This window comes from Homo sapiens, chromosome 1, assembly GCF_000001405.40.
Source record: "Homo sapiens chromosome 1, GRCh38.p14 Primary Assembly".
Lineage (NCBI taxonomy): Eukaryota > Metazoa > Chordata > Mammalia > Primates > Hominidae > Homo > Homo sapiens.
Window position 1 is genome coordinate 53,505,168 of NC_000001.11, and position 22,248 is coordinate 53,527,415.

General features: G+C 57.4%; 1 protein-coding gene across 10 annotated transcripts in view, besides 3 other annotated features; it reads right to left on the reverse strand.

Annotated features, from left to right (window-relative positions):
- Positions 1–1,071: 1,071 nt before the first annotated feature.
- Positions 1,072–22,248, reverse strand: part of GLIS1 (GLIS family zinc finger 1) — a 232,926-nt gene continuing 211,749 nt past the window's right edge. For 4 of the 10 annotated variants that reach the window (NM_001367484.1, NM_001390836.1, NM_001390837.1 and 1 more), the window contains 6 exons: positions 19,610–19,720; positions 15,467–15,599; positions 9,458–9,614; positions 4,682–4,860; positions 3,953–4,120; positions 1,072–1,609 (listed from right to left, as the gene is read on the reverse strand). In NM_001367484.1, the coding sequence (NP_001354413.1) occupies positions 1,452–1,609; positions 3,953–4,120; positions 4,682–4,860; positions 9,458–9,614; positions 15,467–15,599; positions 19,610–19,720 (906 nt within the window). In that variant the 3' untranslated portion in view covers positions 1,072–1,451. Of the gene's footprint in view, positions 1,610–3,952; positions 4,121–4,681; positions 4,861–4,984; positions 7,757–9,457; positions 9,615–15,466; positions 15,600–19,609; positions 19,721–22,248 lie in introns of those variants that run through there. The other 6 variants (XM_017000409.2, XM_047447071.1, XM_047447086.1 and 3 more) reach the window with 4 other exon arrangements.
- Positions 1,424–1,950: an enhancer, noted in NCBI's record as "NANOG-H3K27ac-H3K4me1 hESC enhancer chr1:53972264-53972790 (GRCh37/hg19 assembly coordinates)". NCBI's record gives its function as "activates a minimal SCP1, AML or CMV promoter by ChIP-STARR-seq in primed H9 embryonic stem cells {active_cell/tissue: H9 hESC(primed)}" and the evidence as "EXISTENCE:reporter gene assay evidence [ECO:0000049][PMID:30033119]".
- Positions 1,951–2,477: an enhancer, noted in NCBI's record as "NANOG-H3K27ac-H3K4me1 hESC enhancer chr1:53972791-53973317 (GRCh37/hg19 assembly coordinates)". NCBI's record gives its function as "activates a minimal SCP1, AML or CMV promoter by ChIP-STARR-seq in primed H9 embryonic stem cells {active_cell/tissue: H9 hESC(primed)}" and the evidence as "EXISTENCE:reporter gene assay evidence [ECO:0000049][PMID:30033119]".
- Positions 21,433–21,936: an enhancer, noted in NCBI's record as "H3K27ac-H3K4me1 hESC enhancer chr1:53992273-53992776 (GRCh37/hg19 assembly coordinates)". NCBI's record gives its function as "activates a minimal SCP1, AML or CMV promoter by ChIP-STARR-seq in primed H9 embryonic stem cells {active_cell/tissue: H9 hESC(primed)}" and the evidence as "EXISTENCE:reporter gene assay evidence [ECO:0000049][PMID:30033119]".

Below are 22,248 nucleotides of genomic sequence, written 5' to 3' on the forward strand. Positions count from 1 at the left end.
CCCGGGAAGCCCTGCAGGCTGGCATGGCACTGCTGTGTCAGTGGCATCGTGGATGATGGGGAGGACCAGGCGCTCATCACGGCTCTGTCACTATGTGGCTAGGTGTTCACTCTGACCCTCAGTCTCCCTCTCTATAAAGAAAGGGGTTACTGGGCCTTTCATCTTGTTTTGCCTGCCGAAGTCAGCGTGTAATACAAAGAGGCGGCCCTTTGGTGAGGGTGTGAATGCCGGCTGCCCCTCCTCACCTACAGAGGAGACAAGAAGACCCCTCCCTAGGCTGTTTCTGGGAGCACCGGGAGGGTGGTAAACATGACCGCCCTTGCATGGTTCCACTCCAGAGGGGATGAGGCAGGAATTTTCCTGGATCTTTGTAGCAGGTGATCAGTGTGACACGGTGAGATGCTGGCCATCGTCCAGGTCACCTGCCCAGGCCTGGAGCATGGGCCTGTTCCTCGTGCTGGATGCTGGAGAGCGAGACGGGGAGATGGGGACAGACCCACGCAAGCCTCGGTCCTCCAGGGTGGGCACAGGGCTTCTGGGACAAAGGCTGCTCTTGGCACCTGGCCTGTCTGCAGGGACCAGCCTTTGCCCTGGCTTTTTGAGGCTGTTTGGGCTCCATCCCCAGCAAGCTTGCCCTGCCCTCCCAGTTTTCTCTGTTTGCAGAAGCCCAGACACTAGATTTGAAGCTCGTTCTCCCACCCGCTGAGGAGTCGCTGTAGCAGGTAGAGGCCCAGGTCAGACGGAGCTGGGTCCCAACTGTGGTCTGACTGTGGGGCCCGGGATCTGAAGCCCGTCGCCGCACCCTCCCAGCCTCAGTTTGCCCACCTGTCCATGGGGATGGGCCTACCTCACTGCACAGTCCTGGGACTAGCGCTGGTGTCTGTAAGGACCATAGCGCATGGTGGGGGCCACGTGCCACTGGTTCCCATCCTCGTGGTCAGAACCCAGGGCCTGAGCTGGTTTCTACGCAGCCTCCCTAGCCCTGAACACCTGGCTCTGTCACCCTCCTCCGAGGCTCTCCCGGTCCCAGCCTCTGGGCTGAATCATAAAGCAGAACGAGGACTTCACATCTCCTTTCCAGTTTTTAATGTTTTTTCTTGTAAAACCAAAAATATAAAACTGGCAGGGGAACGGAAAACAAGTTCTGCATATTTTATATACACGAGGTCTGTGATTTCAAAACCACTGCGGGGAGGAACGGGAAGACAAGATCGAGGGAATGTTACAGGGCCACAGATCCTGGCGGGCACCTCTGTGCGCCCAGCTCAAGCTCGGATGGCGGCTCCCTGGCAGCGCTGGGTGGGGTGGCAGCGCTGGCTCCCCTGGGTCATGGCCTGGCTGTTCCGGCTGTGGCCTGGCACTCCTGCTAGGTGCACGGAGGGTGGGAGCGACAGCAGGTGGGCGAGGTGGCATCTGCAGTGCTGGATGGGCAGGCGCATGTGGGGGCTCCTTCAGGTGTCTGTGTAGATGGAGGGGATGTGGCCCAGGCAGTGGTCAAAGGCTCCATTGGGGAAGAAGCCACAGTCCTCGGGGCCGCTGGACACCACATCTTCAGATGGCTGCTGTGGCAGCGCTGTGGGGCATGAGGCCTCAGCCAGGGCCTCATAGCCTGTGAGTGGTTGGGAAAGGGTCAGCGCTGGAGGCAGCAGGGGCTGTGCCTGCGCATGCTTCCCAGTTCCAGGCCCCACCCCGCCTGCCCAGGGTCATCCCCTCACAGTGTCCCGTCGGTGGGGCCTGCTTGGAGCCCCCAACTTTTCCAAATGGGGGAGCTGGCCGCTGGGGTGGGGCGAGGGCTTGGGAGGCACCCTGGGCCTGGCACACCCAGGGGGCCCAGGGCAGCTGGGGAGACAGGCACGGGGTTGACTCAGGGAGGTCCATCACCAGGGCTGGGCTGTGGGGCAGAATGTGGGGGAAAGAGAGGAGCAGGGTAGGAGCAGCTCAGCCCTTGCCCTCAGGGGCTGGTCCCCTCCTGGTAGAAGGACCAGCTCACCCCCACCCTTTCAGTTGTATCCCCCAACCAGACTCAAGAAACTCAAAGAAGGCCACCAGCATTTACTGGGCACTTAGTAAGTGCTCATTTCAGCTTGCCTCGCTTCGGCTCCACAATGCTCCCCTGCGGTGGGATTCACTATCCTATTGTACAGCTGAGAAGGCAGGCACAGAGGCCAGGATGCTTGCCTAAGGTCACAGTGTGAGTAAGGGGTGGAGCTGGGATTGAACCCAGGTCCATCTGGCTTCAGAGATACCTGGCTCTTCCACCGGACATGCTGTCTCCAGGGTGGGGCCACCGCTCAGAGGCCCTTGACTTGGGAGGGGCCGGGAGGGGTGATCTTCTCCAGCCCCTGCCCGAAAGGCCTGCCAATGAGCTGCTGTCATGCATTTGTGTGGCCTAAGACAGGCGAGCCTCAGTCTACGCAGTGGGGTTGGGCTGAACTGTTCTGAGGCCTGCAGCCCCTGAAGCTTGTCAGCCTGGATTTCATGCTCTGTGTGTGATTTTTGCTTGACCGGGGAGGTGTGCACAGAAAGGCAGCTGAGCGGGCCTGGAGTGGGCACTGGGGAGAGGGGAGGCTGAAAGAACCTCCCCTGGCCGGTGTAGGGCCGGGGTGGGGTGTGGAAGCTGCCTCCTGCTCCATTCAGAGCTATTCATTCTAAGCCTTGCTGCTCAGCTGAGAAATCCCATGTGGGCTGGATGGGGGTGGGGAGGACAAGATGGGGAGAGCCCACAGTGCTGGGCACCTCAATTCGGGTATACACAGACACAGAGCACCCGTCTTCCATGTGAGCCCCATGTCACGCAGGGGGCCATGCACACACGTCTATCCCGCGTGGACACGGCACACGTTTACCCACGGGCCTGTGGGCACAATCCTCAAACACAGGTGCACACGTGCACACAAGCACACGTCTGTGGAAACAGCCATGAGTCGTGGGGTGGGTGACACAATGTGCACACAGATGGGGTTCACGGACATCCACATACACCTGGGGTAATACATGTGCAGACACGAGAGTGCAGCCCTGCCAGCTCCTGACACTCACGGGGCGCATGCTGCCCAGAGCCACCTGTGCAAGCCCCGCAAGCACGGGCACACGCAGACACCTGGCACGGGCGCAGGTGTGTGGACGTGGACCCACAGGGTGGTATGTGCCCGGCTGAGGCCTCAGTGCTTGTCCCTATATACCTGTCCCTCCACCCTCCCGCTCACTACCTCAAAGCTGCCCCAAGGGCCTCTGGGGCGGGTCTCAGGTTCCCCTTTGTTGGAGCCCTGGAAACCTCCTGTTAGACCTGGGCCCCGAGGCTGTTTTGAGGGTGGGTCTCAGCTGGAGGAATTCAGGGAGGGTCTAGCCCCTCCCTTCTGATGCCCCTGCTCTGACTAGGCCTGCCCTGCTGATCGGAGCCTGGTTCCACCTGGGCTGCGGGCACCCTCCCCTCTCCCTGGGCTTCTCTAGCCAAGCCTGGGGCAGAGCTGGGGAGGCCCAGGGCCCTGCAGGGCAACACCAGGTACCTAAGTGGGGAAGGAACAGCATGACCTCCAGGTTCTGTCCCCGCCTAATCTCCTGTGCTGCCAAAGGGAGAGCAGGATTTGTTCATTCCCTGCTATATCCCCAGGGTCTGCAGCTATGCCTGGCACACAGTAGGTGCTCAATAAATAAAGTGAAGCAGTAATTAAACCATGAGCTCCCAGTCCGATTCTTCAGAAACCTGCCAGCATTCAGACACACATAAGGCTCGCAAAGCTGTGCAAGGAGCATGCACTTTCCAGTCAGGCAGGTACAGACAGTTCTGCGGGGTCCTGGGACCTCTCTGAGCCTCTACTTCCCCCTCTGTAAAGTGGGGATGGCCCCACCACATAAGCATCCAAAGGCTGCAGGACAGCACGTATGCAGCACCCAGCACTGGGTTGAGCCTCGGCAGGTGCCCAGGACTGGGAGCCACGCAGGCAGGGCTCACCTGTGGCAGGCAAGGGCGTGCTGAGGCTGTGGTAGCCATTGGGCCGCAGGGGGTTGAAACCGTGGGTCTCCCCGACCAGTCCGTCCCCACCGGCTGCTGGTTCAGCCATCCGGTAGCAGTCGCCATAGGGGAAGCAACTCTGGATGGAGTGGAAACTGCCCTGGTAACCTGCAGACGGGGGTAGCAGGGGCCGCGTTCACAAAGGAGAAGTGCCCAGGGCAGGGAGGGGAACATCCTTGCTGCACGCTCCACCTCCCGTGTTGTCCTGTCCAGGCATTGTGGGTGTGAGAGAGAGAGGAGGGCCCAGGGCAGAGGAGGTGCAGGAGGCTGGGGCCCCATTCTCAGCTCCGCCCTGCAGGGAGGGGAGGGCAGGCGAGGGGTGGCTGAGATGGTCTCACGTGGCTGCTCCTGAGTCACCCGTGGCTGATGCCTACTCCCTCCACTCTCAGGCGCTCAATCCCGCTCACTGGCCTCTCCTCAGGGCAGCGGGCCTTTGCTGCCTTGTCCAGAACACACTCTTCCTCACTCTCAGAACCAGTTTTGTCCAGGCTGTGCCCTCAGCTGGGCCTCTTATGTCCCCTGTCTCCTAGCTTCTCTCAGCCCCCAGTGCCCAGCCGGTCATTCTCTGAGTACCTGCCTCCCCCACTAGGTCACTGTCTCCTCGTTCCTCTGGGGTCCCTAAGTGGGAATTGGGGGGTTATACGGAGCGGGCCCCTGGCCAGAGCTTACCTTGTGGGCTGGGCAGAGGCGGGGGTGGAGGGCTCTGGAAGGGTGGGTAGGACGGCTTGCTGGGGAGTGTGGGGAAGGGCTGGCCCCCCGGAGAATGGCTCTGAGAGGATGGGGGCAGCGGCGGTGGCCCCAGCCCCTTCAGGGGGCTGACTATTGGTGAGAGGAGGCCGGGCCCCAACCTGGAGAGAACAGAGGTGCCCATCAGCAGGCAGGGGTCTGGAGGGTGGGGGCCAGAGGCAGGGCTGCTGCGGCTTACACCCCTCCAGCGACGGGGAGCCCACTCACCAGCTGACCTGCTCCGACTTACAATAGTTAGAAGAGGAGCTTTTATTTTTGGTCATGTTCAAGCCAAACTTTTCAATCCTGTAAGCTTTGGAGTCTGGTATTTAGGATAGTCAGCAAGAAACACAGGTAAGAGGCACAACCTTTCCAGCTGAGAGAACTGTGTTCAAACCCCTAATTGCTCCGTTGGCCAACTATTTTGGGCAAGCTGCTCAATGTCTCTGAGCCCTGGTTTCCTGGACGGGCTGCTGGCTCACCACCGGGCACGCTGCAGTGTTCATTACCTGCTGGGTGCCCGGCTCTCTGCCTCGTGCATGCCACTCTGGCCACCTGGACGAGGAGCCCTGGAGCAGCCCATGGCACTCACAGTCAGCATTCACTGAGCCCCTGACTTGCCCCAGGTCCTGGGAGACAGGTGTTCTTGTGTCCTTTTCACAGACCAGAAAACCAAGGCTCAGAGAGCTTTGCCCAAGTTACTCCCAGCCACACAACATCTCAGGGGTTATGGTGAGGGTGACATTAAAGCAATATAGACAAAGTGTGATGTCCAATACATTCTTAGCCACTCCATCAATCATCATCATCATTATGAAGAGGAAGGGAAGAAAAACTAGCAAGTCGGTCCCATGGCCAAGTCGGCATTTTTTTCCTGCACAGTGTACTCTGAGGAACCTTCCGTTTCCAGCCCTGGCCATCTCTCCTCCACTTGCATACCTCCTGTGATGGGGGCTCACCAGTTGCCTTCATACAGAGCCTGAGGGGGATGCAGGCTCTAGACTGTGCACTCTGGAAACTCATGTTCTGAAACAAGACTGCAGTGGCTGAGAGCAGCACAGGTGCCCTGAGCCCAGCCCAGCCCGAGGGCCCACTACCTGGACCACAGGATGCTGCAGGCCAGGTTCCCTTCTCATGCTACCTTCCTAAGCCCCTGGGCCCCGTTCACAGGGGCTAAAATGACTTTGGGATCAATGGCTTGGGGGCTCTGGGGACAAGGCTGAAGGCTCCCAGCCTGTAAAGCATTTATGTACATGGCAGAAAGAGGGAGATAGTGAGAGCTCGGAGTCCCCATTTTCTTGTCTGGATTTGTGGCTTGTTGGACCATCCACATTAAAATATACAGCGAATTCAATGTCACAGCTCCAGGTGACCTCGTGACCCTTGCCCACCCTCTGAGACACCAAGTATTGACAAACAGATCAGTGCCTCTCTGAAGGAAGCAGGGCTATCTGGAAATGGGGAAAGCAGATTTGGAGAGAGGCTGGGGTCTCCGCATCTGTGCTGTGCCAAGTTCCTCTCTGCTCCCTCCAACGTTGGCAGCCCCTCCACTGCCCCTCCAGTCTGCTGTCATCATCCACACGTGTGGGGCCCCCGTCACTGTGAGCTCGCTGAGGACAGGGGAAGCAGGGCCTCGGTGCTGGGTCCCTGGCCCGGCCACTGATACACTGTGGGTCCCTGTCACTGTTTTAAGTTCATGAGACGAATCCTCATCACACCTCCAGGAATAAATTATCATTATCATCATCATTATTTTTAGGCCTGTCTTGTGGGGTGATCAAGTGGGACAGCGTCTTCCTCTATGCACTAGAAACCGTGGACAGCTGTGCACGAGCTGTGTGTTCTCATGACCAGTTCTGGCTGAAGCTGGGCTGGGGCCTGGCCGGAGAGTGGCTCCTCCTTCCTGCAGGCCTGCTGTGTGGTGGCTGCCTTATCCCCATCCCATCTGGGCACCCACAACCCAGCCCTCCCCTGGTTTCCTGAAGCCCCTGTAGGGAGGGCCAGGTCTTGGCCCTTCTCGGTCACCCGGTGCCCAGCGCTGGGCATGGCACACAGTGAAAAACCAATGACACTAATAAATGAGTTTCTGAATCTCTCAGTTGCAAATCCCAGAGATTAACAGCATTGCAGGATTAAGATGAACCAGATATGAAGGGGAAAAAACATGTGTTTTCAAAAGTTTGTTTTTCCTGTCTCACTCCACCATAAATTCACATTTGCCACCTTCACAGCTGGTGAAATTAAACAGAACACAACTCTCTCCACAGCAGACATGACGCCTGAGGCTATGCTGCTCTACCTGAACCCTTTAAAAGGCAAAAAAGATCTTCTGGAGCTCCTCCTCTGAGTCATGCAAATGATTCCTAAATCAAATATTTTTGCTTCAACTGGAACCTATAAAAATTAATATAAAACCTCACTAGCCTGGCAGACTGAGGGCTTCATACCTCGCACAAGGCTGGGAAAAAAAATACCCTATTCGGCGTCTTCTCTGAGCCAGGGTAAATAAATTTGGTCATGAAGTCAGGCCCTCTTAGCATATTTTTGAGTGAATCAGATAATTCTGTCAAGCTATTTAAACGTCCCAGCAAACCACTGGGGAGCCACGAGTGGCCGTTCCTTGTTGACTTTGGCAGGAAGTGGAGGCTGAAGGCCCTTTCCCCACTCTCTTCTCAGGGGATGAAAAAAGAAACCCATTCACGCTGGGCCTGGGCCTGGTGTCAGGCACGAGGACGCTTCTCTCCTGCAGCTGGACCCGAGGCTCCTACCCGCAGGCAGGGGTGGGCAGGCGGGGGTCCCGTCTTGTCATCACTCTGCTTCTCACTGCAGAATTCTTGACGGGCACTTATGCAGGCGGCAGGCAGGTGATGAATGAGGCGGAGCAGAGTGCACGGGCCCAAGCAGCGAACGGCCTTCGTGGTTTATTTTCCTTTGGTTGGAGATGTTTTTCGGCTGGTTGGTGGGTGAGCAGGTGGCCTGAGCAGCTATGGGTGGGGGCGGGGACCATCGTAGTAGAGCCTGTGCCAGGTGAGGCACACAGTGTCAGGCGTGTGTACGGCCCTCACCACCTTCCTCAGGGAGGGCCTTATAATGCCTTTCACAGAAGCAGCAGCTGAGGCTCAAGGAGGGCCCGGTTTTCTGGGTCCCCCTTTGCACCCCCTTCAGGCTGCCTCTTCATGGTTCTCTGCTCACACTCACAGCCACAATCTTCCCCTGCCTGTCAGCAGCCCCTCTGGACCCCCAGCTCATCCCTGAGGCCTCCTCCTCTCCCTGCCCAGCTCGGATTTCCTACTCCCGCTGCCTCCAGTGCCACCACTGCCTTCCGGGCTCCCCCTCCCCAGCCTGAACCAGGCCCTGGCTTGGGATGCTGTCTGTCCAGCGCCCCACAGTCCACCCCACCCCTGCAATGCCGCCCTGCGTCCTCATCCCCAAACCTGACCACATCACTGCTCAACACTCTTCAGGTCGAGTCTCATCCCAGGCCTTGGGATCTGGACCTGGCGACATCGCTCCCAAGTTCGTCACCCCACACAATGACTCATGTTTCCCAGAACACCCCAAGCTCTCACCATGCCTACCTTCACTCTTGCTACTCCTTCCTCCCAGCTTCTCCACTCATCCAACTCCAGCCTCACCTCCTCCAGGAAGCCTTCCCTGACACCCTCCTGGCAGCCACACCCCACTGGGCTCTCCTCTGGGCTCCACAGCCCTTCTGCTTCCTTGCCGCACACCACTGGCCCCCTGTGTGGTAGGTCTCCCTCTCACAGTAAGCATCTCCAGGGCCAGAGTCATCGAGGCACCAGCACTGGGCCCAGGGCCTGCCCACAGGGGCTCCATAATTGAACACCGAATGAATGGGTGAATGAATGGCAGGAGGAGCCCAGTAATAATAGGAGCAGTGGGCCACAAATGTGGCGATGAAGCCAGGCTGGCCCCAGGCGCAGGCAGGCCATGGCCAAGGCTGTAGCCAGGAGGAGGAAGGGCAGGGAAGGAGGAAGGTGCTGGGGCCAGGCCTGCGGGGACAAGGTGATCAGCAAAAAACAGCAGGGAGGGCAGGAGTGTGGGGCTGGGAGGCCTCCCTCTGCTCATTTGCAAGAAAAACAGATTTTGGCAGATCATGGTCCAGCAATTAACACATTCACCATTTCCAGTCAATTAAGTGGCCACAATGAGAACCACACTGGGTGCAGGAAGAGGCTGCCCCTCTCCACAGTGATCCTGAAGTAAAGGCTCCCAGGCAGCCCCCCGCAGGCCGGGCAATGCCCCAGCTGCAGTGGCTGGAGGTGGGCGTGGGGCCCAGACCAGCGTCTGTGGAGTGCGCGCAGTGGGCAGTCTGCTCCCAAATGCACAGATGAGGCAAGGAGACACCAGAGTGAGGCCCCGAGGAGGCCTGGGTTCCATTCTGCGTGTGGCAGCCCAGAATGCAGGGGTCGCTGGGAGGGGCCACAGCATTTTCCCAGGGTCCTCCAGTGGGGAGAAGAAGCTGCATGAAGTGAGGCATTCAGAAGCCAGTACGGTCTACTCAGAGTTACTGCAGGCACCAACGGAATCATGCACACAAAGTGTGTGGAATGCAGTCTGCAGTCAGTGTTCCCTGAAGGTTGGCTATTTTCATTATCAGTAACAAGCAGATAGATAGTGCGGGACACCTGCTCTCCCTGCCTCCCCCCGAGATCCCCCCTTGTTGCCCCTGGAGGAGGACTGGCCTGGTGTACATACCCATCCCGGGTGCTCTCAGCCATGGGCAGAGGGGACAGATGGTGGTGGGAACTGGTGGTGGCATCCAGCGGGTGGTGCCTGGAAGGTACGTCGTGCGCTGGGGGCAGGAGGCCCGATGCAAGTCCGTTATGGGGGGTGATGGAGCCAGGATACACACCTGCAGGGAATCAAACAAGGCTCACTGGACTCTGGCCACTCCCTAGAGATGGTTGTGATGGCCCAGGAGCTGTGTGTGCCTGATGATGGAGAAATAAAGACAAGAGGGAAAATGAACAACGTTGTATCACTGGAAGTTTAGGGGCCCCAGTGAGGGAGGTGCTGGCCCCACTCCACTCAGTTCAGCCTTGCAGGCCCTGGCTAAAGGGCTGTGTCCAGGGCTGGGGCTCACCCTGATAGCAGAGGTGGACTGGCAAGGGGCTGTCAGAGGCGTGGGGTGCTTAGGGTGTGTGTGTATATGTGTGTGTGTGTGTGTGTGTGTGTGTGTGTGTGTGTGTGTTCTGAGATGGGGGCATGTATAGGGCAGGCTGCCTCAAATCTCTGTGATGCTGTCCTGGAAAAGAAGAGGCTTGTTCTGTGTGGCCCCGAAGCAGACAGAGACCCAGGAATGGAGAGAAGCTTGAGAGTAGACAGCAGCCCAGGGCTCGGCAGTGCCTTCTAACAGGCAGTGCTGCTGCAGGGCAATGGGCTGCCCTTGCACAGAATAACTACCTCCCCCAGAGATATGCAAGCAGAGCCGGGGTGTCCACTGTGAAGGCTTCCAAAGAGAGATGACTGCACTAGCTGAGTGGCAGCTGGCCTGGGAGACCTCTGAGAAGGGCTGCCATGGATGGTTGCATGGGCGGTACACTGAACAAGGGTCCCAACTGAGGAGAGGAGTCAGCCTCATTCTAGTCTCAGATTCTAAACCTTCAGAAGACACCTGCAGGGTGATGCCACCTTTTATCACCTTTTACCCCCGAAAGTCTTACCCTTGTTAAGACAGGGAGGCTAATAAATCAATGGGGGACACTAGGTCAGAGTCAGACTTTGCTCCAGGGACCCAACTAGGGTTTGGAGTTACTGACCCCAGCACTCCCAAAATGCCTTCACCAAGAAACCCTAATCAGAGTAGGAAATAAACTCCTACTCTGGGACTGGAGCCTAAGAAAGACATGGCAAGAGTTGTAAGTTTTTGATGTTCCCTATTTTATCTAAAAAAAAAAAAAAAAAAAAAAAAAAGAATGCACCTGACCCCTGCATTCCAGGCCATTACACCCAGAATGGAGCCCAGGCCTCCTCCAGCCTCGCTCTGGCTTCTCCGGGGCTCATCTCTCTAGGAAGTGGCCAGTTTTGCATCCCTTTTTCAATCTGGCCATGTTTATTTTGATAGCAATTGACATCATTTTTTCTGAAATCCATGCATCCAGCAGATGCCCTGGGAGGACTCTTTGTGACCTGGGGGCTAGCCCGGGGCTGCACTGATGGACTCTGTGTGACCTGGGGGCTATCCTGGGGCTGCACTGATGTGGTGTCCATTCTGATTGGCCAGTGTGCACCAGGGCAGCTGTTACATGCTGAATAGCACTCTGGTTACCATGGATCCAGACCAGTGCTCTTATTACACCAGAAGGACCAATCTGAGAACACACCAGTCTCCTTTCATGGATGGGGTAAGGGAAACTTTTACCTTCTCAGTTGGTTGGGGTTCCCAGGCTAGCTCATCCCAGGCTGGCCCCTTTGGCCCAGGCCTGCAATTCAGGAGGCTGTTGCAGGGAACCGAGCAGGGCTGTGGCAGGGACGGCAAGCTCAGTGCCTCAGGCAGCATGGCGGGGAGCAAAATAAATGAAACTGCACGGATTAACAAGGGGAGCAGCAGGGCCTGTGGCAAAGGGGAGAGCACACATCCCAGAAAGACCTTCACATGGAAACCGTTAAAAAAAAAAACAAGCCTGTAATCCCCGCACTTTGGGAGGCCGAGGCGGGAGGATTACTTAAGGCCATGAATTCGAGACCAGCCTGGCCAACATGGCGAAACCCTGTCTCTACCAAAAATACAAAAATTAGTCGGGCGTGGTGGCATGCACCTGTAATCCCAGCTACTTGGGAGGCTGAGGCAGGAGAATGGCTTCAACCCGAAACGCGGAGGTTGCAGTGAGCCGAGATGGTGCCACCACACTCCAGCCTGGGCGACTCCATCTCAAAAAAAAAAACAAAAAACAAAAAACAAAGCACCACCACCACCACCACCGAAAAGTGCCCCTTTGCCTATGAGGCCAAACAGTTTGCAACTCCTGGCCTGGAGTTAAAGCTGCAAGCACCCTACGTTACATTACATCATGTGAGATTCAACTATCAAAATAACTACCATTAATTAAAAACATACTATGTGCCACACTGTCTTTCCACATTATCTAGTTTAACCAGCTTGACAAGTGTCAGTGGGGAACATAATATATTCCATTTTAAGATGAGGAAACTAAATATTAACAAGTTGAATGACTTGTCCAAAGTCACAGAGTAGGCGGCTCATCAGGCCCATCTTCCAAGCAGCAGAGAGAGAAAGTCCACTTGAGGCCAGGGCTAGGAGTGGCTCCAGCTCAGGTGATGGTCTGGATACCCAGCTGAGGCCTCGGCTCTGGTGCAGGCATCACTGCTGGCTGCTGTGAGACCCAGGGGCTCTGGGCCACCGTCCTTACCGCTCCCTGCCTCTAGGACTCTGCTCCCAGGCCTAGCACCACCTGTCTGTCCAGCCACTGCCTACCTCCCCAGCTTGGGGGAAGGTGCCTCAAGCGGTGTTTGTGGAGGGAGCCTGGCGAGGAGCTGCCCACACTTTGAGCCACTCACTACTCTCCTTAGCACCTCTTCGCCTGCCATCTTGAACCAATTTGGGGGCCTGACAGCTGGGAAGGCTTAGAATCCTGATCAATCCTGCACCTTCTTCCTCAGCCACGCTGACCTCATGCTTCTCAAGTCCTCACTGCCCATCACATTACCCTGGATCTGCTCAGGATGGGCCTGGCAGATAAGCTCCCAGGGGTTGGGTGGGGGGTCTCCTGTGCAGAAGAGAACTGGTCCCTACTTGAGGGAGCATCCTGCAATTGGACAATGGAAATTTGGTGTCTCCCTCTGCAGCTCGTCCCTCACCCTCTCCCCTCTGTTCTGGACTCTGCTAATCCTCCCTGACTCAGTCCCCTGCCCTTGCCCCTGCCCCGGGGCCAGGTCCCGGCCTGTCCAGCCTCCACACCAAGGACGGACACAGGGTGGGTGACCGAGTGTGTGAACTAGAGATGCTGACCATGTCAGCGAACAGCAGATGGGAATGAAGGAACCATGGGACTGCGAGGGGCAGCGGAAGTGGGGACGCCACGGGGCCTGATGGGCTCTCCCCAAAACGCACCACTTCAGGCTGTAAAGCTGTGTCATCAATCATCAGCCGTGAGCGCTTAACCTCTGGCCCTAACATCTGTTCCCTTCTCAGCCATCTGCCCTGCGGCCTGCAGAAGAACCCAGCAGGCCGGATCCTAGGGGATCCAGGACCCCGGGCTTCACCTGCCTGGTCCTGCCCTCCCCGCTGCACTGGAAGCAGCTCGAGGACAGGGCCAGCACCGGGCCTGGCAGACAGCAGGTGCTCAGTATAGCAGAGGAGCAGCACTAGCAGCAGGGAGGTGCGGGCTCTGGTTAAGAAGACAGCCTGCACAGATGGTCTGGGTTCCAATCCTGCCTCTGCCACCTGCTAGCTGTGGCTTGCGTGTGCCTTCTGAGGCCGACGTGAGGATGATGGCAGTGATGTCCACGCACAGTCCCTGGAGCAGCACCTGGCACACAGTCAATATGTGCTGGCTGTGCATGATTGTAAGGTGGACGAGTACATAGTCATTCTTCTTGCTCACCATAAACAATAACAGTAAGATGATCAGTCACATAGGGTTTATGTAAGTGACCGCATCCATGATCACATTTGTTCTCACAGCAGATGAGATCCCTCAGTGCCTGGGAGGGAAAGTGAGGCTCAAAGCAGGGAAGATACCACTTATTGTCACAGAACAAGGGCAGTAGCTTCAGCAGGAGTGGCTCCTCCAATCTGTGATGATGAGGACTCAGCTGATTCTGTTTCTCATCGGTAGCATGGGTTTCACATCCTACTGCACAGCGTAGTTGGGGATTGAACGAGAGGATATTTGTGAAGTCAGTGGCCCAAGCAGGTGCTCAAGAGATGGTAACTGCTGGCCCTGTCCCTTCTCGCTGGGACAAGCCTGAGGCCGGCATCTGGGAGAACAGGCTTGCAGCCTGGACTGGCTGCTGACTTCTCTGGATGACCTTAGGTGATTCCTTCTCCTGCCCAGGCCTGAGTCTTCCCAAGGTAAAACTGACGGGGTAGGTACAAGACCTTTGCCCTGGGGGCAGCACTGCTCCTCCACAACAGCTTTCTTTCTGGCTGAATCAGGAAGCAGCTTCCAAGGCCTTCTCGACACAGAGCTCCAAGTAGTCACTGTCATGACCATTTGTTAGGAGCTGGCACTTGAGATACCTTCGTCCCTGGGTTGGATGAGCCCCCCGGTCCCTTCCAGCCCTGCCATTTTAGCAATTCTGACCCTATGAGAAGCAGCCACACAGAGGGGTCCTCTAGCTAGACGTGAGGAGGGTGCAGACCCTCCCCCAGGCATCCATCCGCCTGTGTCCTCGCCCTTGTGGACCTGCCTGAGCACAAACCCCTGGAAAGGGGGACCCATGAGAAAGGCTAAAAGGCTTTTCTTCCTGAGGCTGTTTGGCAAGTGCTTTGATATATTTTTAAATCTGTTGCTACTTCAACATTGAGGGGAAAGAATAAAAAATTAGAAAACAAAAAATGTTGAAAATGGTTGGAGTAATTCAAGAAATCCCAGAGGGTGGGCAGAAAGTCTGTTCTGATACTGTGGTTTCTTTAGGGGAGTCGGGGGTAGAGCGCAAGGACTGTCAGCTGGAATCCAAAGGCCACGCTGCCCTTATCTGGGCTGGATGCCTAAGCCACAAAGCCAGGAATTCCTGCTGCGGCCTGAGACCTGCCCCGTGGCCCACGGCTGCTGGGAGGGACAGACAAGCCACCTCAGCTGGACCAAAGGCCCTTAGCATCTGGTTGGAGGGGCCCGCAGAGTCCCAGGGGCTCTGGGGGCCCCATCTCTGGGCCACAGAGTTTAGCGATGAGCTGGAAGTGATCTGGGCTAAGTTCCTATCCTCTCAGAGCCTCAGTTTTCTCCTCTGGAGCAGGAGTCAAGGCCAGGAGCAGAATGGGCTCTTCTTGAAGACGGTTCCTCCCTGCGGATGATCCTGGCAGCATGGGCCATCACCAAGGGCACCAGAGCCTCTCTTGCTGATGCTTGGGGCAGGGCCATGGGTTCCCCCAGCCCAGCTCTGCATGTCCCCATCCTGGGTGCTGGTGACTCCAGAATGAGGCAGACCCTGAGCCTCCCTTGAGGAACTCACAGTCTGGTGGGGGAGACAGATGGGCAGATGGGAAGTAGAGTGACAGCTCAGAGTGCTCAGCACTGGGGCAGAGCGAAGCCCAGAGGAAGACTTCCTGGAGGAGGGGACAAGGAGGTGGGTCCTGAAGGAAGGGCAGGAGCTACCGTCATGAAGGGTAGGAGAAGAGGGCTGGCTGGGTGTGGACAGTGTCCGGGGGTCGGGGGGAGCAGGAGCAGAGAGTGTTCAGGGAACTGCATCCAACATGCCAAGGAGGAGGCAAGAGCTGCCAGGAGGACCCAGGCCCCATACACCTTGAAGGCCAGGCTGAGACGGGTGAGGGCTTCATGCCCTGAGCAATGGGGAGCCACAGAATAATGTGAAGGAAACGTCCACCTAGTTAGACGAGCTGCAGGGAGAAGATGGATTGGAAGTAGGGAACCAGAGGCAGAGGCAACCAAGTCCAGATGAGTGAGTGCCTGCAACATGTCATGCCCATGTGGGCGGCCCACTGAGCATCACTTGTCCTTGACTGTGGGCAGAGAAAGGCCCCTCCTGGGCTACGCCCCTGGCCCTGCCTCCCCGCACACGTACCTGGGAGCAGCTCCTGGCCCAGGCCACAGCCACCCTTGCCGTCGCTGGCAGCCAGCTGTGTGGACGTGTGGAGCTGCTGCAGGACCAGACACTCGGTCAGGACGTCGGCCTCGGTGTCAGGGCCCGCATGCAGCTGGGGAGCAAGCAGAGGGAAAGGAGGTGTTAGTGTGAGACCCCTGCCCACCAGCAACCCTCACGTTAGGGGACAGGGCAGAAAGGACTGCAGCCCCAGGGCAAGACCCTTCCCTTCACTGTGCCTCAGTTCCCCATCTGTGAAATGGGCTGACTGTGTACATCGTGAAGATGTTGTTAGTCCAGGTCCTTTGAGAAGCAGATGCCAAGATGGGATTCAACATGCAAGGATTTAAATGGGAGACGTGCCATCTGTGAACTAGATGGGCTGGGAGAGCCCAAGGACTGAGAGAAGGAGGCAGGGAGAAGGGGTCAAGCGGGAGCCTCCGGGACAGGGACTCAGGGAGTCCTCAGCAGCCAATGTCTGCTGGATGTCAGGGAGTCCAGTGCCTCCTAGGAAGACTCTGCCTCAGTGTCCCTGCTGGGCCTGCCACACTCAGTCATTGCTGGGAGCAACCTGTGGGAGGTGTGGTCTCCGATGGGTAGCTGAGTTCTGCAGGTGCGTTCTGTGCAGCCGCACCGGTGAATGGACGCGGTAGGAATAAAGCGCAATAGGTGTGCCGTCAGCCTCCCCCAACCCCCCACCCAGCTCTTTCTTTCTTCCTTCTTGGTACAAGGTTCAGTGGAAATAGTTCAGGGCTAGGGATGAAGAGCTGGGCTCGGATCCCATCCTACCTCTTCTTACTCCCTGTGTAATGCTGGACAAATAACATAACCTCTCTGGGTCTTGCCTACCCAGCCTGTAATAAGCAGCAACAGTCACGCCTCACCCCAGGCTGCCATGAGGAGTAATGACACAGAGTGACGATGGCTGGGGGCATGCTTTGGAAGTGCTGTAGTAGGGGTGGCAGAGCTCCAGCTGGCCGAGCCCCATCTGGTCACCCCATCATGGGCACGATGGATCAGTATATAGACTTGAGGTCCCTTGGCTAAGGGTGAGCCTGGGCTGGGGTGCACCCAGTAACCCAAGCAAATCTTTGGCCAACAACCCTTGGCTGTCCCCAGACAGTCACCTCAGAACATCTTCCAGAGCCAGGATGGGAACAGGGTGAGGCCTTCAGGACACTGGATGATGACTGGGGCAGGCACCTGGGAAGGGCCCCTTCTCTCAGGGAAATCCCAAAGCTTGGCTCAGCCAAATGCTCATCTTCCCCAGGACAAAACAGACCCAGAGAGGGTGAGAGCCCTGCCCCACATCACACAGCAGCTGAGAGTCAGCCCTGAGGGCTTTTCTGCCCTCCTAAGACAGCAGGGCCAGGCCCAGGCTTGGAGAAGGCAAGCCCAGCCTCGAGATGGGCTCTTGGCTCCCTGACCCAGCAGCTGTTTTCCATGTAAATTAAGTTTCTGGCAAAAGAGAGCCAAGGCATGTTCTTGTAGACCGCAATGTCGATCGGATTAGGAGCAGCAGGAGAGGAGAATTAAGGAAGAAAAGCATTTCTAATTTTCTCTGAAACGCGGCAGGGCTGCCAAGGACTTGTCATAATACAAGGGTCGCTTTACCCAGAAAGATACATCATCCCTGATGGCTCTTAATGGATGCTTATTGTTGGGAAGTTTGCAGATCTGTGGCCCCAAGTCCCCGGGGGCTCAGTGCGAGCCAAGCATGGGGCCTGGGAAAGCCAGGACAGGATTCTGGTCCTCAGGCACTGGTCCGCTTGGGACAGAAGCCTCCCTGGTGTGGAGCTCCAGTCTGCTAGAGCCTGGGCCATTCCCTGTCCCCACTCAGGCCCTCAACCTGAGAGCAGTGAACGGAGCTCAGGCCCTGGAAGCAGACAGGTCTGGGATGGACCCTGGCTCTGGCACTTCTGGGGTGCATGATGCTGGGCTGGTTTGTTAACTCTCTGAGCCTTAGTTTCTCCATCTCTAAAATGAGTGTTTCATGACTCTAATCCCCACATTTTGGGAGGCCAAGGTGGAAGGATTACTTGAAGTCAGGAGTTTGAAACCAGCCTGGACAACAAAGTGAAACCTCTATCTCTACAAAAAAAATATATTAAAAAAAAGCCAGGAGCAGTAAGCATGCCTGTAGTCCCAGCTACTCAGGAGGCTGAGGCAGGAGGATCACTTGAGCCCAGGAGTTGGAGGCTGCCATGAGCCATGATCGTGCCACTGTATTCCAGCCTGGGTGACAGAGTGAGACTTTGTTTCTAAAAATAAAATAAAATGGGAATTACAGTGCCCACACCTACGGTTGTAGTTTCTTTTTCTTTTCTTTTCTTTCTTTTTTTTTTTTTTTTTTTGAGACAGGGTCTTGCTCTGTCACTCAGGCTGGTGTGCAGTCCAACTCCTGGGCTCAAATGATCCTCCCACCTCAGCCTTCCGAGTAGCTGGCGAGCTAGGGCTATAGTGAAGCCTAAATGAGATACAGGATATGAAGCCCCAGGTACAGTGCCTGAGCCTCAGAGGCACCTGGGCTAAAGCACATCCCCTCCCTCCTCAGGGAACATGGAGGTGGTGTTTCACCAGAAAGCTCATGGCGCAGGATTTGACCACGTCCCTCTCTGCTCCACAGCTTCCAATGCTCCCCACTGCCTGCAGGCTGGAGACCAACTTCCCAAGCCTGGCGGTCCCCTCCCATCTTCTTTCCCACTGAGGCCCCTTGCTCCCAGCACCCCATCGCTGTCTCCCTATCCCAGGGCCTGAGGCAGCTGCTTCCTCCAGCCTGCAGGCCTCTGCTGTTTCATTCCTGGCAGTGTCCACAGTTCACAGAACAATGCTTGGAATACAGTAGGTGCTCTGTAAATCTGGTTGAACCAATAAATGCGATCTTCCCACTCTGTCCTCCTCTGTCATGCCAGTGTCCCTGAGTTGGCCCCTGGTGTTTCTTTCACTCCCACACCCTCCCTGGCGCTCAAGGACCCTCACTCCCTGGCCCTGGAGTTCCATGGGAGTGCAGGTGTGAGTTAACCCAGCCAGGTGGGCTCTGCCCCCAGCTGCAGTCCTGTCCCTCCTGCCATGGCCCAGTCCCCTCAGGAACTCACACACGGCTCGTCCAAAACAGCATCCCCAACCCATTTTCTACATGGCCCTCAGGGTTACCTCTCAAGGTGCCATGTCCCTGCTCTGCTTAAGACCTCTCGATGGCACCCACTGTGCCCTGGACATAGCCCTGCCCACACCACCTCTCCTCACTGCGCTGCTTGGCCGCTGATCCTGCACACACTGGGCTTCAGGCTTCAGCCCTCTCAGCGCCAGTCACTCTGGGGAGCGTTCTTCTGAATTCACCGGCCCAACTCTTAGTCCTTCCTCAAGACCAATGAACACATACACCAATTTCTGTTTTGAACTTTTAAATTTGTGCCAGGTACAGTTCTAAACCCTCAGCATAAACCGTCATTTACTCCTGACCGCAGCTGTCTAAAGCAAGTCCTTTTTTGTCCCCTCTGATGGCTGAGGAACCTGAAGCCCAAAGGCACGTACGTGCCTGGGTGCAGAGCCAGCGGAAGCAAGCCCCGCGGGCCCACTCCGCGCTCACACCCCTAAACACTGCACCCATGCCTGACGCCACTTCCTCCACAGACCTTCCTGCTCCCACCCAGAGGGGCTAAGGTCCCCTCATCTGTGCCCTGACTTTTCTCTGCACATCTCTCTCGCCATCTTAATGACATGAGGTAGAATCATCTCTTTGTGTCTGCTGTCGCCTGCCAGGACACTGAAAGCGGGGACGTGCTTTTTCATTTCTGCATCTTCCGTGCCCAGCACAAGGCTGGACATCATGTGTTTACCACACAAGCCGCGGGAGGTGCACAGATGCATGGGGCGAGGAGCTGGTGGGCAGTCTGTGGGTGGTAAAGGGCCAGCTGGGGGTGTGGAAGGAAGGGCTGCGGGTCAGCAGAGACACTAAGGGCAGGTGGGAAGTGGACGGACGGACGAACGGACGAACGGATGGACGAACAGTGGCATACAGGGCGAGTGGGTGGGCAGATGCATGTGTTGAGGGTGGGCACCTGGCCTGATGCGGTGCAGGCGGCTGCGAGGTGGGAGGAGGCCAGATGAGGAGGGCTGGCTTACCTTCTTACGCACCTGCTGCTCTTTGGCTGAATGGGCCTTGACGTGCTTGCGGAGGGAGCTGGGGTCTGTGTAGCGCTTGGAGCAGCCAGGGATCTGACAGGCGTACGGCTTCTGTAACATGGGGGGCACGGGTGGGGTGAGTGAGGCCCATCCCTACGGGACACGCGCCTCCGCGTGACCTGCTGTGGGGAGGTGACCAGGCGAGAGGCTGGCTGCAGGCCAAGAGTACTCTGCCTCAGCCAGCCCGGCCCAGCTGTGGGGAAGGTGCCTGGCCTGGGAGCGGAGCAAGGGGTTTGTGTCTTCATTCCACCACCATCCTGGGACCTCAGGTCAGTTGCCTCTCCTCTCTGAGTCTCACCTTTCTTCTCTGAAAAATGGGGCCATCTGAGGTCTAAGGGTTCTTCCAGGTCAGACCCTGGCTCTGAGCCAAGTCCACCCTTTGGACCCCACAGCTGCAAGTAAGCATTGAGCAGACAGGGAGTGCAGTCAGACAGCTGCTCTGCAGATGGGGAGGAGGAGAGGGGAAGGGGGCACCCACACAGGGCCAGGCTAGGCGGCACTGACCGCACCTTGCAGGTAGGTGCAGAGGCACCGGACTGCTCTTGGGGCCACAAGAAACCAGGTCCTCCTGCCAATAGCTGTGAGAGGCTGGAAGCACGGCTGGATCTGAGAACACAGGGCTGGGGAGGCTGGGGAGGCTGGGGAGTCTGGCGGGGCTGGGGGCTGTGCCCTGTGCATGGGGAGTGGACAAGTCTCTTCCCCTCAGGCCCCCATGGCTCACCCAGAATATAAGAAGTGGACCCCAAATCCATCCCCACTGCCCCTCCTGAATTCCTGCCCAGGCCCCACCCTGCCCTCCAGGCCTCAGGCTCCCCACACACAGCCAGAGGGGAAGGTCTTTCTCACAGACCCGCTCTTGCCTTTGAAACCCCTTGGTGGCTCCCTGGTGCCCTACAGGCCATCTCCCGGCACCGCAGGCCCTACACCTCCCACCACGAGCACCTCCTCAGCTCTCCCGCAGCCACGTCACCTCCTCTCCAAGCTCTCCTCGCATCCTCCACCTCCTCCCCGGGCCAGAACATCCCCCTAAGCGCTGTCCAGCCTATGTGCTGGGTTTGCTCAGTGTCCCTCTTCTCAGCCAGGGAGCGACTTGTCTGATTCATCCTAGGTCTGAGTGACCCAGGGCAGGGGACTCGTGGCTCTAATTGAATCCCAATCTCTCCCAAGGCTTCCACAGGACCCTGCTTGAGGACTCTGGCCGCTGCTGGGGCTTGAAGCTTACAAGGCTTCCCTTTGCGGACACGTCTAGTGCTTCCGCTCTCTTAGAAGCCTCTGCCCTGCTGGGACTGCAGGGGACAGGAGAAGGATTGGAGGAAATGACACCTCTCAGAGTGAGTGCCAGGGACTGCCATGTCCTGCCAGACACACCCACGTGGAACTGCCCCCAGGACCTCAAGGCAGCTTTGCCCCTGCTGGACTAAGGAGAGGCCAGGCCAACCTCAGACCCAGGGAGAGGTACCCATGGCCCTGGGACCTCATGAGGAGGGGAAGCAGAAAGAGACGACCATACCTTGGTGCTGCCATGGAGAGTTGCCAGATTAAAGAAACGGAGGAGAGCAAAAAGAGAGAGACAGCAGTGAGAAGCTTGCCGGGGTTGGCCTGGGAGGGAGAGCGGAGGCCTGCCGCGGATGGCCCCTGCTGCCCCCAGCCCACCGCACCCCAGAGGTAGGCTCCCTCTCTCACACACCATACACACACACACACACACACACACACAAAACCACCACCACCACACACACACACCACACCATACACACCCACGCACGGCACACACACGTGCGTTCACATGTGCCCAGGCACACACACGGCCCTGCCCTGTCCCTGAGCCGGCCCCAGGACTGTCCCTTGGGGATGCTGATACAAATCCACTCGCTTTCGTCTAAAAGCAAACAAGCTGGCTCTGTGTCTGCCGGCACATTCGCCTGGAAACGGGCGGCAAGGCCCATCTCTGTGTTTGTTTTTCCAGGGCCTGACATGTGTAGAACATTCCTCAGGCCCCATTCCCCGTGAGCCTGTGGGAAACCCTGTGGCCGTCCCCAGCCAGCAGCCAAGCTCCGCCTGGAATGGCCATGTGGGCTGCAGCGCCGGGCGGCCTCCCTCTGTCTGTAATGAGGACGCTCCGGGTGAGTCTGCCGTGCGGAGCCCCTGCCCGTCTGCACTTGGAGGCCAGCTCTGCTGGGAGCGCTCCCCTGTGCAGGCCCCGTGCTGAGCACCAGCCATCCGCCATCTCCCTGAGCCCACACCCACCCCATGAGACTCATCCTGCTTTGCAGAAGAAGAAACTGAGACCTACATTTTGCCCAAGATCCCACAGCGGGGAGAGGGAGGGAGCGTGTGCAGGCCTCTGCTAGAATGCCTCCTCTGCTCGGTGGCCTCGAATGGTCCAGTGAAGTGGGCAGGGGAGAGAGAATCATCCCAGTGGGGAAGCTGAGGCCCCATGCAGGACAGCGGCTTATTCGAGTCCGCTCAGGGGATCTGTGCACTCAGGACTCGAGCCCCACACTGAGAGCCTGGGACACGGCAGGATGTGGTCAGTGCCCAATCAGTAAGAGGACAGGCAGGGGAAGGCCGCCCAGTCC